At 51.9% G+C, this 16,187-nt stretch overlaps 1 protein-coding gene across 1 annotated transcript; it reads left to right on the top strand.

Annotated features, from left to right (window-relative positions):
* The first annotated feature begins 7,793 nt into the window (after positions 1-7,793).
* On the top strand, positions 7,794-16,064 carry CDC42EP5 (CDC42 effector protein 5). The gene is made up of 3 exons (NM_145057.4): positions 7,794-8,026; positions 9,405-9,545; positions 15,543-16,064. Exon 3 carries the CDS (start codon positions 15,543-15,545, stop codon positions 15,987-15,989), a length of 447 nt encoding a protein of 148 aa, NP_659494.2. The 5' UTR covers positions 7,794-8,026; positions 9,405-9,545; the 3' UTR covers positions 15,990-16,064.
* The last annotated feature ends 123 nt before the right edge of the window (positions 16,065-16,187 follow it).

Here is a 16,187-nt window from a genome sequence, read left to right as displayed (position 1 = left end):
TGGGATTACAGGCTTGAGACACCGCGCCTGGCAGTTAAAAAAAAAAAAAAATCATACTTGGCCTGCTTTTGAGACCACAAGAAAGGGACGATGCATCTCCCACTCCAGGCTTCTGGGACACACCTCTCTCTTCCTCCCTCTTGGCTTTCCCAGGCTGCTGCCAGGGTATCATCCAGAGTTCCTTTCCCTTTTATCTCTCCATCGTTGCTGTTCTTGGCCGCTTTCTCCCAGGCCTCTGCCCTTCCCGCTGTTCCATCCAGAACCAGCCACATAATTGGTGGGGTCTATTGCAAATGAGAACTCGACGTCCCTTCTTCAAAACGTAAGGAATTTCAAATTGGTGACAGCTGAGCGTTAACAGAAGCGTGGTGGCCAGGCACAGTGGCTCATTCCTGTGATCCCAGCACTTTGGGAGGCCAAGGCCGGCCGATCACCTGAGGTTAGGAGTTTGAGACCAGCCTGGCCAATATGGTGAAACCCCGTCTACTAAAAATACAAAAATTAGCCGGGCGTGGTGGCACATGCCTATAATCTCAGCTAATCAGGAGGCTGAGGCAGGAGAATGGCTTCAACCCGGAAGGTGGAGAATGCAGTGAGCTGAGATCGCACCATTGCACTCCAGCCTGGATGACAGAGTAAGTCTGCATCTCAAAAAAACAAACAAACAAAATTCCATCCCAATAACCCTTAAAAAAAACTTTTGCGTTCTGACTTTATTTCTTCTTGTTTTCTTATTTTCAATGGAATTCATTCTACTGTTTTCACATTTACCATTCAGGGATATTTGGACAGAATTACATGGCCACAGGTCAACCACTATGACCATAATTCCCTTTCTAAGAATGAGGAAGGATGTGGTCAGTGGGGTTTTTTCATATTATGTTACTGCTTTGCAAGATGACACTTTTTGTTAATTTTTATTTCTTATATTTATTATTTTGGATGCTATTGTGAATGTATGAACTGTTTCTCCATTTTCGTATGTATTTATTTATTTTGAGATGGAGTCTGGCTCTGCCATCCAGGCTGGAGTGCAGTGGCACGATCTCGGCTCACTGCAACCTGTGCCTCCCAGGTTCAAGCGATTCTCCTGCCTCAGCCTCCTGAGTAGCTGGGATTACAGGTGTGCACCACCATGCCTGGCTAATTTTTGTTTGTTTGTTTTTTAGTGGAGACCAGTTTCCCCATGTAGGCCAGGCTGGTCTCCAACTCCTGATCTCAAGTAACCTGCCTGCCTTGGCCTCCCAAAATGCTGAGATTACAGGCGTGAGCCACCACGCTCAGCCTCTCCGTTTATTTAGATCTTTAACTTCTCAGCATCTTTTGTAATTTTTAGTATACACGTCCTTTATTTCTTTTATTAAATTTCTTCCCACTCATTTTATTACTTTGGAGGCTTTGTAAATAAAATTCCTCTCCTCACTTCGTTTTTAAATTATTGTTCATTAGTATACAGACACATGATTGATTTTGCTGAATGTCTCCCATCCTGCTAGGAATGTATTGCACTTTTCAACCAGAGCTTCCATTTAGTTTTAGGTTTTAATAATTTCACAGGATAGCATTGTGCTCACTGGTTGCTTCATGTAATTAATATTTCTATTAGCCAGGCGTGATGGCACATGCCTGTAATCCCAGCTACTCGGAAGCCTGAGGTAGGAGAATTGCTTGAATCCAGTAGGCAGAGGTTGAGGTTATCCGAGATCGCGCCATCGCACTCCAGCCTGGGCAACAAGAGTGAAACTCCGTCTCAAAAAAAAAAAAAAATACATACACACACACACACACACACACACACACACACACCCCTTTGTGGATTTATTGGGGTCTGGATTGCCATCCTTCAGATTTCTTGCTCTAGCCTAACGGCTCTGTTGTTGTTCAATGCAAGTTTTATTTTTTATTTTATTTACATTTTAGCAGCTTTGTTTAGCTATAATTGTTCTACTAAAAAACCCTCTCACTTAATGTACACAATTAGATGAATTTGGACACGTGCAACCCCTTGGAAGACATTCACGTGCATGCGTTGTTGGGTTTTTGCTTCTCACAAGAACGTATTTCAGGCATTTCCATCTCCACGCTACACATGGGGAAATAGAGGCTCACAGAGGAGAAAGGACGTGGTCCAGGTCACCTGTCCCTGGTCCTCCAGGCTGAGGAGCAGAGAGACCACCCACCTTGGGGCTTCAAGGGTTTGACACGTATCTTGAGTGCCCTCTTGTGGTCCCAGTGGAGAAACTCCCTGTTTAGTTCTGTTCTTTTCCATCTGTCATTCACTTTTCTCATTCAGTATTTGTTGGTCCTGTCCTGTGTGCCAGACACTGTTTGAGGCTCTAGCGGTCCATCAATATGCAAAACATCCTTGCCATCGAGGAGCTTATATTCTTTTTTTTTTTTTTTTGAGATGGAGTCTCGCTCGTCTCCCAGGCTGGAGTGCAGTGGCGCGATCTCGGCTCACTGCAACCTCCGCCTCCTGGGTTCAAGCGATTCTCCTGCCTCAGCCTCCCGAGTAGCTGGGATTACAGGCATGCATCACCACGCCCCGCTAATTTTTTGTATTTTTAGTAGAGATGGGGTTTCATCGCATTAGCCAGGATTGTCTCCATCTCCTGACCTCGTGATCTGCCCACCTCGGCTTCCCAAAGTGCTGGGGATGACAGGCCTGACCCAGAACGCCCAGCCGAGGAGCCTATATTCTTGCAGAAGGAGACAGACAGTAACCCTTGGGCATAATAAGCACATTCACAGCTTACTAGAAGGTGAAAATGATCTGGATAAATGAGAAAGTGCAGCAGTGGTCCAGTGGTCTGGAGTGTGCAAAGTTCAGCAGGGGGAACAGTGTGGTGGATGCAGACTGAGAGCCAGGGAAAGGGAAGAGGCCATGACTACCCTGAGTGAGCTGGAAGGAAACACGAATCACTCCAAGTAGAACACCCCTTCACTGAGGATTCTTCTTCCCAAACTTCCTCTAGAAAGCTGAGCTGCCACTCACCACAGGGAAGGCTCAGCCCATTAGACTTCAAACGTCCTCAGCAATTCCCTGCCCACCTCTTTCTAGGAGTCAAGATTCCTCCATCCTGATCTAGACCAGCATCTGGTGACCCCTAGAAACCTGTCCTGGAAGCCTCACAAGGCTCTTCACACTCAGTTTGTGATATGATGACCCCAGAGTTGTGCAGTGCACAACCTACGCAGCTGGACATGATGGGCCTGGCGCTCTTCCTCTGTGCTCCCACTGAGCTCTGTGCTGACTATGTCATTCCACTGGGTGGTGCCATGTCAACTTCCCTCCTCTCCTCTCAATATCCTGTAAGCTCTTTAAGGATAAGATAGGATCAAAGTTCCATCCATGTCCCTGCTACTCAGAAGAGGGGCTGAAACATTTAAAAGGGAAACGTTGGAACCCCCTCAATAGCACTAGACTTAAGAAAACAAATTGCCGGGTAGTGATGATTAGATTGCTATAAAAGTCTGAATAATTACAAAAAGATTCTAGGAACTGGTGTATAATTATGTAGGGGCACTGGCAGTATGTACTCACTGAAATCAGCTAAGGAATCATGGTGCAGTCTCAGGAACCAGCTGGGCACAGTGGCTCAGGTCTGTAATCCCAGGACTTTGAGAAGCTGAGACGCGTAGATTGCTTGAGTCTAGGAGTTCAAGACCAGCCTGGGCAACATGGCGAAACCCTATCTCTACACAGTTAGCTGGGCATGCTGGCACACACCTGTAGTCCCAGCTACTCAGAAGGATGAGGCAGGAGAATTGCTTGAACCCGGGAGGCAGAGGTTGCAGTGAGCTGAGATTGTGCCACTGCACTCCAGCCTGGGTGATACACTGAGACTCTGTCTCAGAAAAAAAAAAAAAAAAAAAAAAAGTTGGGAATGTATCCAGATGAACCAAAAAACCTAAAACCTTTCTTTGACCTTCCCTGTTCTTCCAGATACCTTATCTCTCTTTCCCTTCACAGAGGACACCCTGGGTTATCTGCTGACCCCTCCGCCTTTCCTGGCCTCCAATCTCTCTCTCTCTGGCCTTCTCCACTGCAATCTGACCTCTCCCTGCCCACCCCATTTGGGTCTGCTCTCACCCAGGCCCCCAGTGAACTCTGGATTCTTACTGAGTCCAGTGGACCTCACTCCCTCTTTTTTTTTTTTTTTTTAATCATACTTAGCCTGCTTTTGAGTCCACAAGGAAGGGACGGTGCATCTCCCACTCCAGGCTTCTGGGACACACCTCTCTCTTCCTCCCTCTTTGCTTTCCCAGGCTGCTGCCAGGGTATCATCCAGAGTTCCTTTCCCTTTTATCTCTCCATCGTTGCTCTTCTCGGCCACTTTCTCCCAGGCCTCTGCCCTTCCCGCTGTTCCATCCAGAACCAGCCACATAATTGGTGGGGTCTATTGCAAATGAGAACTCAGGATCCCTTCTTCAAAACGTAAGGAATTTCAAATTGGTGACAACTGAGCATTAAAAGAAGTGTGGTGGCCGGGCGCGGTGTCTCATTCCTGTGATCCCAGCACTTTGGGAGGCCAAGGCCGGCCGATCACCTGAGGTTAGGAGTTCGAGACCAGCCTGGCCAATATGGTGAAACCCCGTCTCTACTAAAAACACAAAAATTAGCCAGGTGTGGTGGCGCATGCCTGTAATTGCAGCAACTCAGGAGGCTGAGGCAGGAGAATCGCTTGAACCCGGGAGGTGGAGGTTTCAGTGAGCTGAGATCTCACCATTGGCACTCCAGCCTGAGCAACAGATAGAGACTCTGTCTAAAAAACAAACAAAAAGGCCAGGTGCAGTGGCTCACGCCGGTAATTCCAGCACTTTGGGAGACCGAGGCGGGCGGATCACCTGAGGTCAGGAGTTCAAGACCAGCCTGGCCAACATGGTGAAACCCCGTCTCTACTAAAAATACAAAAAGTAGCTGGGCGTGGTGGCGTGCGCCTGTAATCCCAGCTACTGGAGAGGCTGAGGCGGGAGAATTGCTGGAACCCGGGAGGCAGAGGTTGCAGTGAGCCAAGATCTTGCCTTTGACACTCCAGCCTGAGCAACAGAGTAAGGCTTTGTCTCAAAAACAAACAAAAAAAGAAAGGTGCAGGGCCCTCCGAGCATGGGTCACTGGGCAACCCATGAAGCTGGCCCTGCTTTGGCCCCGCCCCCTCCCAGGACCTGACCTCTGAGGGGCACTGTGGTAGCAGAATAGCCCCACCCACCCCCGCACATGCAAGATGTCCACGCACAAATCCCTGCGACCCGTGAATAGGTCTGCAGATGCACTTAAAATTGTGGATCTTACGTCAGGGAGATTATCCTGGCGTGATGGTTAGTTGTTGTTGTTGTTGTTTTGGTTTGTTTGTTTTTTGGGTCTCGCTCTATCGCCCAGGCTGGAGTGCAGTGGCGGGATCTCGGCTCACTGCAAGCTCCGCCTCCCGGGTTCACGCCATTCTCCTGCCTCAGCCTCCCGAGTAGCTGGGACTACAGGCGCCCGCCACCATGCCCGGCTAATTTTTTGTATTTTTAGTAGAGACGAGGTTTCACCGTGTTAGCCAGGATGGTCTCGATCTCCTGACCTCGTGATCTGCCCGCCTCAGCCTCCCTAAGTGCTGGTGCTGGGATTACACACGTGACAAATAGATCTCTTATATACATATCTCTTTTTCTTTTTTTCGTCTTTTTTTTTTTTTTTTTTTTTTTTAGAGCGAGTCTTGCTCTGTTGTCCAGGCTGGAGTGCAGTGGCTCGATCTGGGCTCACTGCAACCTCCGCCTCCTGCGTTCAAGCGAGTATCCTGCCTCAGCCTCCCGAGTACCTGAGACTACACACCACTGCGCCCAGCTGATTTTTGTATTTTTTTAGTAGAGTCAGCGTTTCACCAAGTTGGCCAGGCTGGTCTTGAGCTTCTGACCTCAAGTGATCCACCCGCCTTGGCTTCCCAAAGTGCTGGGATTACAGGCGTGAGCCACTGCACTTGGCCTTTATATATATCTTAACGTATGTACATAATACATGTAATGAACCACTGGCACATGCTGCACACGGATGAACCTGCTTATGTGAAGGAAGTCAGATAGGTAAGGCTGTATGATGTGTGATTCCATTTATGCGAATGTCCAGAAGAGGTAATCCATGAATCAGAAAACAGGGGAGTGGTTTCCAGGGGCTGCAGAGAGCGGGGCATGGGAGTGACCGCTTAATAGGGTTTTCTTTAGGGGTGATGAAAATGTTTGGGAACTTGATAGAAAGGATGGCTACACAATTACCAGTGTACCAATTAGGTATGTTCCATTGGGAATGTACTAAATGTCACTGAACTGTACACCTTAAGATGGTTAATTCTGGCCCGATGCAGTGGCTCACACCTATAATCCCAGCACTTTGGAAGCCGAGGCAGGCGGATAACCTGAGGTCGGGAGTTCGAGACCAGCCTGACCAACGTGGAGAAACCCCGTCTCTACTAAAAATACAAAATTAGCTGGGCGTGGTGGCAGGCACCGGTAATCCCGGCTACTCAACAGGCTGAGGCAGGAGAATCGCTTGAACCTGGAAGGTGGAGGTTGCAGTGAGTGGAGATCGCGCCATTGCACTCCAGCCTGGGCAACAAGAACAAAACTCCGTCTCAATTAAAAAAAAAGAAAAAAAAAAGATGGTTAATTTTATGTTATGTGAATTTTACATCAATAAAAAATACTTAATAAAAGTCTGTAACATATATATATATATATATATAGTTTTTCTGATTACTGAGTTTCTGGTGACCACTGCCCCCTCCCCCCTTAAATTTTGCTGTGGGTGCTGAGTCCTGACCTGCTTCACTCCATCCCCTGCGGGGACCCCAGTGGGAACTTTCTAACACCTGGATCTTTCCCTGCCATTCCTCCGCGGTCCCCCCACGCCTGCAGGGCAAACTGAAGCTCCCAGTGGCTTTCAAGCTGGCTTCTCCAGGCAAATCAAACTCCACCTGGTGTCTGAGAACCCTCTGCCCCACCCAGCTTCCCCATTCTGCTCCGATATCCATCCTCCTCTCCTGGGCTCCATCAACTCTCACTCATCCTTAAGACCCAGCTCAAGGCTGCTTCCTGTTATCGCAAATTGACTGTCTTCTCTCCAGCACTACAACCCCAGCCCCAGCTAGGGGTAAAACCACTGACCTAGCCTCCCACCTGGGCCTCCCCTTTCTCTCACTGAGCTGCCTCCTACCTGGGCTTCCCTCTCCCTCTCCCTCTGACCCTGACCCAGGCTCCAACCTGCATCTCCACCTCCCTCCCGCTGACCCAGCCTCCCACCTGGGCCTCCACCTCCCTCCCACAGACCTAGACTCCCACCTGGGCTTCCCACCTTCTTCCCACTGAGCTGCATCCTGCCTTGGGACTCTGCTCTCCCCCTCCGCTCTCTCTCCCTGCCCGCACCGCCCTGAAGGAATTGCCCTAACACTCAAACCTCACTCTCTTGTCATCAATAGACACTGGTGCTTAGAATGAGATATGAGCTTTCTATGACGGAGTGGCTCCAGGCAGGGAGGTTCATCTAGGGGACGCCGCAGCAAAGCCAGAGCTGCCCCTCTCAGACACCCTCCATGCTCTTCATCCTCCTGCTGCTTTCACTGTCTGACCTGCCTCTCTTCTCTCTTTCTCTCTCTCTCTCTCCCTCTCTCTCTCTCCATACAGCTGCAATCTGGAAGAAATTACTCTTCTAAACAGCCAGACTTCCCCAGTTTCAGGAAATTCCAAGCTGTGCAGGGGAGGGGCCAGGCTGGGGGCGCGCCCTGTCCAGCCCCACCCCCTCTGCCAGTTCCCCCTGCACACTTAGTCCTGGCCTCCTCCCGCCCCCACACTCCGCCCAGAGGGGCCTCAGCTTTTCCACCACTGCTTTCTAGTCCTTTAACTCCTAGAGGCAAACTTTTGGGGGATAAGAAAGCCTGGGAGGGGCCTGTGCCAAAACCCTCTCTGCCTGGGGACTGGGCGGTGATTCCGCTTCTGCCTGGGCTCCTGCCATGGCCCCCGAGAGGGGCTGACACTTTAGCTCCCGGTGCAGGTAAAGGGGCCTTATGCCAGGGCTTGCCAGGGGTGGGGCCTGGACTCCTGGGTCTGAGGGAGGAGGGGCTGGGGGTCTGGACTCCTGGGTCTGAGGGAGGAGGGGCTGGGGGTCTGGACTCATGAGTCTGAGGGAGGAGGGGCTGGGGGGTCTTGACTCCTGGGTCTGAGGGAGGAGGGGCTGGGGGCCTGGACTCCTGGTCTGAGGGAGGAGGGGCTGGGGGGTCTTGACTCCTGGGTCTGAGGAAGAAGGGGCTGGGGGTCTGGACCCCTGAGTCTGAGGGAAGAGGGGCTGGGGGTCTGGACTCCTGGGTCTGAGGGAGGAGGGGATGGGGCCTGGATTCCTGGGTCTGAGGGAGGAGGGGCTGGGGGCCTGGACTCCTGGGTCTGAGGGAGGAGGGGATGGGGGCCTGGACTCCTGGGTCTGAGGGAGGAGGGGCTGGGGGTCTGGACTCCTGGGTCTGAGGGAGGAGGGGCTGGGGGCCTGGACTCCTGGGTCTGAGGGAGGAGGGGCTGGGGGGATCTTGACTCCTGGGTCTGAGGGAGGAGGAAGGGCTGGAGGTCTGGACTCCTGGGTCTGAGGGAGGAGGGGCTGGGGGGTCTTGACTCCTGGGTCTGAGGGAGGAGGGGATGGGGCCTGGATTCCTGGGTCTGAGGGAGGAGGGGCTGGGGGTCTGGACTCCTGGGTCTGAGGGAGGAGGGGCTGGGGGTCTGGACTCATGAGTCTGAGGGAGGAGGGGCTGGGGGGTCTGGACTCCTGGGTCTGAGGGAGGAGGGGCTGGGGGCCTGGACTCCTGGGTCTGAGGGAGGAGGGGCTGGGGGTCTGGACTCCTGGGTCTGAGGGAGGAGGGGCTGGGGGTCTGGACTCATGAGTCTGAGGGAGGAGGGGCTGGGGGGTCTGGACTCCTGGGTCTGAGGGAGGAGGGGCTGGGGGCCTGGACTCCTGGGTCTGAGGGAGGAGGGGCTGGGGGTCTGGACTCCTGGGTCTGAGGGAGGAGGGGCTGGGGGCCTGGACTCCTGGGTCTGAGGGAGGAGGGGCTGGGGGCCTGGACTCCTGGGTCTGAGGGAGGAAGGGCTGGGGGGTCTGGACTCCTGGGTCTGAGGGAGGAGGGGCTGGGGTCTGGACTCCTGGGTCTGAGGGAGGAGGGGCTGGGGGTCTGGACTCCTGGGTCTGAGGGAGGAGGGGCTGGGGGGTCTTGACCCCTGGGTCTGAGGAAGAAGGGGCTGGGGGCCCCTGACTTTCGGGTCTGGGGTGGGATTAAGAAAGCGAAGATCTAGGACGCCTAGGACCTGAGGGCGAAGGAGGAGGTGGCTCTACGGACCCGGATGCCTGGCTCCTGAATCTCCCTCCGGGTTCCACATGACACTTTCCTTACCAGGTGAGAACCCGCCCGGAGGAAGAAGGAAGGCGCGGGCCGGGGATTAGGAGACGGAGGCGGACTCGGAGCCAGGGAACCAGGGGTCCGGGCTAGAGCTGGAGTCGTGAGCGCGCGCCCGCCCCGCTCTGGGAGGACCGCGAGGTAAGGCGCGGTGGGGACAGGGGTCCTGGGTCCCGGTCGGGAGGGAAAAGGGCCGCTGAATTCCCGGCCGCAGCCACGTGGCTGCAGGAAGCGCGCAGTGAAGCCCTCGCCGGGCCGGGGGTCTCCCCATCTGGGGTCCCCCGACCCGGCTGCACCGCAGCTCCCACGGGTCTGAGAACCAGTTGGGCCGGATCTAGAGTGGGTTGTTATTTCCGTCCTGGCGGGGCCGGGACTGAGAGAGGACAGAGGTGAACCAGCTGTGCCCGCCACCCTGCAGCTGGAGCCGTGGCCCTGCCCCAGCAGGAAAGAGAGGGGTGGGCGGAGGCGGGGGGAGAACGCGCGGCCCGGGCCTCCCCGGGCTCCACGGTCGCGCCCCGCTTTCTGCCTGTTCCACGTTGGTCACAAACAACAGCCCCTCTGTCCCGAGCCCTGGCAGCGTGAGGGACTTTTTCCGAGCATGACCTCATTGCTTTAAACACAATTCAACCAGAGGGAGGTCAGAGGCTTCTATTTAAGAGGACACCCAGGCTGGCAGAAGTGAAGCGACTTACCCAGGGTCTCAGAGCTAGGGCGCAGAGGTGGCATTCGAAAACGACTTCCAACTCGTTGTTCTGGTCTGGACTGGAGAGGAAAAAAGACAATCAAGGGTGTCAGAGGAAATCTCTCGCCTTCATATCAAATCAGAACATTATTATTTTTTTTCTCATGGGGTGGCATGCCCGTAGTCTCCTATGGGGAGCTAAGAGTTCGTCTGGATTCCAGATCTGGCGCGCAGCATTTGCTACTGTGTGACCCAGGGCAAGTGACTTAACTTCTCTGTGTCTCAGCCATCGCGCATCTGTAAAATGGAGTTGTCCTGAAGATTAAATAAATTAGTTCATTCATGGGGAGGCACTCAGGCTGGTGCCTGGCCCAGGATAAGCACTTGGAAAATAAAATTTCGGCACCCTCAGTGTAGTCTTTCTTTCTTCCCTTTCTTTCTTTCCTTCTTTTTTTCTTTCTTTTTCCTTCCTTCCTTCCTTCTTTCCTTTCTTTCTTTCTCCTTCCTTTCCTTTCTTTTTCTTTCTCTTTCTTTCTCTTTCCTTCCTTCCTTCCTTTTTTCCCTCCCTCTCCTCCCTCCTTTCCTTCTCTCTCTTTTTCTCTCTCTCTCTCCTTTTCTTTTCTTTTCTTCTTGAGACAGGGTCTCTTTCTGTTGCCCAGGCTGAAGTGCGGTGGGACGATCATACCTCACTGCAGCCTCAAACTCCTGGGCTCAAGGGATCTTCCCTTTTCAGCCTCCCAGGTAGCTGGAACTGCAGGTGCATGACACAGCACCTGGCTAATTTTTTATTTTTATTTTTGTAGAGAGATCATCTCACTTTGTTGCGCATTCTGGTCTCAAACTCCTGGGCTCAAGTGATCCTGCTGTCTCAGCCTCCCAAAGAGCTGGCATTGTAGGTGTGAGCCACGGCGCCCAGCCACAAACAAGAGTTCCAACCCCTGTTTTTTGAGGAGTAAACTGAGCTTTAGGTTGAGGAAGCCAGTTTGGGATCGCACAAGAAGGAAATGGCAAAATTTGAGCCCAGATGTGTGTGATGTCAGAAACCAAGACTTTATGTGTGTTGCCAGGTGCTGAAAAGTGGTGGCAACGGATAGGGCAATGGAAGGGGGATGCGAGGTGCATGCTGGGAGCTGGGTCTGACCAGAGGCAGGGGCTGAGAGCTGTCCACGAGTCAAGAGGCAGCAGAGAGTGGAGGCAGCCAGCTCTAGACACTGGAGTTCCCTAGAGCTGGCTTTGTGATCTTGGTCAGTCACGTCCTGTCTCGGATCACCCATTTCCTTCTCTGGAACACTGGGAGAATGATCCGAGGTGTGACTCCATTGAGCATATGTTAATTGAACATTCCCTGTGCGCTGGGCACTGTGCCAAGACTTGCAGGGACATATCCCTCCACCAATTCTTGCAAAAGGACTGGGAAGTATTAGATTAATATCATGCCATTTTCAAGATAAGGAAATGAGGTCAGAAAGGTCAAGTAAGTTGCTCAAAGCCACAGAGCGATCAGCACAGCCAGATTCAAACCTGTGCAATGGACTTTCTGAATTCCACTTTTTCACCTCTGACCCACAGCAGAGCAAGTGCTGAGATCATAGGCTCTGTTAGCAGCTAGAGAGGATTTTTTTTTTAAACTGTGGATCCAGAAGATACATTAATGAGCTGAGCTCAACATTTAAAAATAAAATAGATTACAATAGAAAATATCAGAGTAGGGGCCGGGTGTGGTGGCTCATGCCTGTAATCCCAGCACTTTGGGAGGCCGAGGTGGGCAGATCACGAGATCAGGAGTTCGAGACCAGCCTGGCCAACATGGTGAAACCCCATCTCTACTATAAAATACAAAAATTAGCCAAGCATGGTGGTGTGCACCTATAATCCCAGCTACTCGGGAGGCTGAGGCAGGAGAATCACTTGAACCTGGGAGGCGGAGGTTGCAGTGAGCCGAGATCGCGCCATTGCACTCTTGCCTGGGTGACAGAGCAAGACTCCATCAAAAAAGAAAAGAAAGAAAGAAGGAAGGAAGGAGAAAGAAAGAAAAGAAAGGAAGGAAGGAAGGAGGGAGGGAGGGAAGAAAAGAAAGAAAGAAGGAAGGAAGGAAGGAAGGAAGGAAGGAAGGAATCAGAGTATCTACCACGTTGTAAGACAAGTAAGTATTGGCCGGGCTTACTGGCACACACCTGTAATCTCAGCACTTTGGGAGGCCAAGGCGGGCAGATTGCTTGAGCTCAGGAGTTTGAGACCAGCCTGGGCAACATGGTGAAACCCCATCTCTACAAAAAAAAAAAAAAATACAAAAATAACACTACATGGTAGCATGAGCCTGTAGTCCCAGCTACTCAGGAGTCTGAGGTGGGAGGATCGCTTGAGTCCGGGAGGCGGAGGTTGCAGTGAGCCAAGATCTCACCACCGCACTCCAGCTGGGTGACAGAGTGAGACCCTGTCTCAAAACAAGACAAATCTTGTTTCTTAAAATTTTTATTTCCATTATGGGGAAGGAGAGAGTGGAGATTGTGTGCTAGGTAACGATAAAAATATATTTATTCATCTAGGTTGAGGTCAGAGAAATTTGATAAATGCTGCAGAGGTAGTAAATCAAAACTGGTTTCCCCATGGAAATCAATGTAAAGAGTGTGTGTGTGTGTGTGTGTGTGTGTGTGTGTAGGCCAGTCTTCAGAATCTAGCCATCTACAATTATTTTAAATCCCTTTGGCTTTCATTTTCCTCCATATTATCACCAATACTTCCCAGGGTGCCTGTTACGGTGAAAACAATGTCAGCGGCTTTGTCTTTCTCATAGTGTTCTATCCAACCTAATTTTTGTTCCACAATTATTGTTAGGGAAATATTTTCCCCCCAACGCTAGCATTACCCATTGGTTAGCACTATTACAAGTATAGTTTTCTTTGATCAGACTTTTCTATGTATCCTGAAAGGAAGGTAGTGTTATTTTATTTATCTTACAGATAGAAAAGTAAACAGGGAAATAAAGTAATTTATTGCAGTTCATACAGCTGGCAAAGGGTAGGGCTTCAACTGAAATAGGTTTTTATTATTGCGATAACAGTGACTGTTAAAACAAAAGTACAAGGTCATCAAAGTCCCTCCCAGAAGTTCCACACAAAACATGCAATGACCAGGATATGGGCAGACTCTGTGGCTGCGTTTCTATTTCATATTGAATTTAGGCCGGGCGTGGTGGCTCATGCCTGTATTCCCAACACTTTGGGAGGCCAAGGCAGGCGGATCACCTGAAGTCATGAGTTTGAGTCCAGCCTGGCCAACATAGTGAAACCTCATCTCTACTAAAAATACAAAAATTTGCAGGGCATGGCAGCGCACACCTGTAATTCCAGCCACTCAGGAGGCTGAGGCAGGAGAATCGCTTGAACCCCAGCCTGGGCAACAGAACAAGACTCCGTCTCAAAAAAAAAAAAAAAAGAATTTGGTGCAGCTATGGGCAATAAAGCACCTAGTTTACAATGCAGATGCTGCCAGCTTCAAATTTATGCAATTCTTCCCATTTTTTTTAACATAGGGCTTTTTATTTTTTTTTTGAGACAGAGTCATACTCTGTCACCCAGGCTGGAATGCAATGGCGCGATCTCAGCTCACCACAACCTCTGCCTCCCAAGTTCAAGCGATTCTCCTGCCTCAGCCTCTCAAGTAGCTGGGATTACAGGCATGCACCACCACAACCAGCTAATTTTGTATTTTTTTTTTAGTAGAGATGGAGTTTCACCATGTTGGTCAGGCTGGTCTCAAAGTCCTGACCTCAGGTGATCCACCCGCTTCAGCCTCCAAAAGTGCTGGGATTACAGGTGTGAGCCACCATGCCTGGCTAGGGAATTTATATTATTATTTTAGAAAACATAAGACATCATATTGTTAGGTTGTAGTCTCAAGATCAGGTACAGTTGGCCAGGCGTGGTGGCTCATGCCTGTAATCCCAGCACTTCGGGAGGCCGAGGCGGGCAGATCACGAGGTCAGGAGTTCAAGACCAGCCTGACCAACATGGTGAAACCCTGTCTCTACTAAAAATACAAAAATTAGCGTCTCAAAAAAAAAAAAAAAAGATCAGGTACAGTTGCCCCTTGGTAGCAGTGATGGGACTGGTTCTGGGACCCCTATGGATACCCAAATATGCAGATGTTTAAGTCTCTTATATAAATGCCCTAGTATTTGCATATAACCTATGTACATCCTCTCCTACACTTTAAATCATCTCTAGATTACTTATAATGCATAATACAATGTAAATGCTTTGCAAATAATTGTTATATTGTTTGAAACTTGTACTCATTTTTTATTACTGTATTTTTTCCCCAGTATTTTTTATCAGCAGTTGATTGAATCTGCTGATGCGGAACCCACAGATACCAAGGACTGTAATTCAAATCATAAAATGCACCCTAGGCAAAGCCCACCTGGGCCTCTTCCTCGTGTGCGTGGTGGGCTCTAGGCAGGATCTGCTTTGCTTAATGGACAGAGTCAGCCCTGTCTTCAGAACAGGAGCCTGGGAATTTCCATTTTTGACAAGCTGGAGTTTTCTTTTTCTTTTTATTGAGACAGGGTTTCACTCCTGTTGCCCAGGCTGGAGTGCAGTGGCCAATACAGTGACACGATCTCGGCTCCCTGCAACCTCCGCCTCCGGGGTTCAAGCGATTCTCCTACTTTAGCTGGGATTACAGGCATGCGCCACCATGCCCCGCTAATTTTTGCATTTTTTATAGAGATGGGGTTTCACCATGTTGCTCAGGCTGGTCTCGAACTCCTGGCCTCAAGCGATCCGCCCGCCTCGGCCTCCCAAGGTGCTGGGATTACAGGAGTGAGCCACCGCACCCGGGCCAACAAGCTGGAGTTTTCTATCAGTCAAGTCTGGGAAGCACTCTGAAGGGTTTGTGAAATATTTGTTACTTGACCTCTAGGAAGGCTCAAGTATTCGCTCTCAGGAGGATCGGCATAGCATGGTGTTCATAGGCATTCTGGAGTCAGGTTAGATCCAAATGTGAGCTCAGCAGCTGTGCCCATGGGACCTCCTGGAGTCTCATCTTACCCCATCTGTGAAACGGGAGGCCGGGCGCGGTGGCTCACGCCTGTTATCCCAGCATTTTGGGAGACTGAGGCGGGTTGATCACCTGAGGTCAGGAGTTCAAGACCAGCCTGGCCAACATTGTGAAACCCCGTCTCTACAAAAATACAAAAATTGGCTGGGTATGGTGGCGGGTGCCTGTAATCCCAGCTACTCGGGAGACTGAGGAGGAAGAATCGCCTGAACCCGGGAGGCGGAGGTTGCGGTGAGCCGGGATGGCGCCATTGAACTCCAGCATGGGCGAGACTCCGTCTCAAAAACAAAAATCAAAAAACAAAAAACGGGAACCGTCCCCCATCGTCCTTTGAGCAGTCGCGTGGCTGCGAGCCCCGGGCTGGGGCCGCGCTGACCCTCCCGTGCCCCTCGCAGATGCCCGTGCTGAAGCAGCTGGGCCCCGCGCAGCCCAAGAAGCGGCCTGATCGCGGCGCCCTGTCCATCTCCGCGCCGCTCGGCGACTTCCGGCACACGCTGCACGTGGGGCGCGGCGGCGACGCCTTCGGGGACACCTCGTTCCTGAGCCGCCACGGCGGCGGGCCGCCCCCCGAGCCCCGGGCGCCCCCCGCGGGGGCCCCGCGCTCCCCGCCGCCGCCCGCCGTCCCGCAGTCCGCAGCGCCCTCGCCTGCCGACCCGCTGCTGTCCTTCCACCTGGATCTGGGGCCCTCCATGCTGGACGCGGTGCTGGGCGTCATGGACGCGGCGCGCCCGGAGGCGGCTGCCGCCAAGCCCGACGCGGAACCCCGCCCCGGGACGCAGCCCCCCCAGGCCCGCTGCCGCCCCAACGCGGACCTCGAGCTGAACGACGTCATCGGCCTCTAGGTTCCCTCATTCCCCGCGCCCTTCCCGCCCGGCACCCCACTTCTGTATACATAAACGGCCAAGGTGTGTGCCCGGGCTCTGACTTTTCACTTTGCACGTGGAAAGGGATGAATGATAGGGTCCTGGCGCCTCTGAGAGCCGGATGTGTCACCCGGAGGCCTGGTCCGGGTCCGATGATTGCCCTGGGGTGGGGGTGCG

This window comes from Homo sapiens, chromosome 19 (genome assembly GCF_000001405.40).
Source record: "Homo sapiens chromosome 19, GRCh38.p14 Primary Assembly".
NCBI classification, from domain to species: Eukaryota; Metazoa; Chordata; class Mammalia; order Primates; family Hominidae; genus Homo; species Homo sapiens.
Note: the sequence above shows the minus strand (reverse complement) of the source record. Positions and strands in the feature narration are given on the sequence as shown.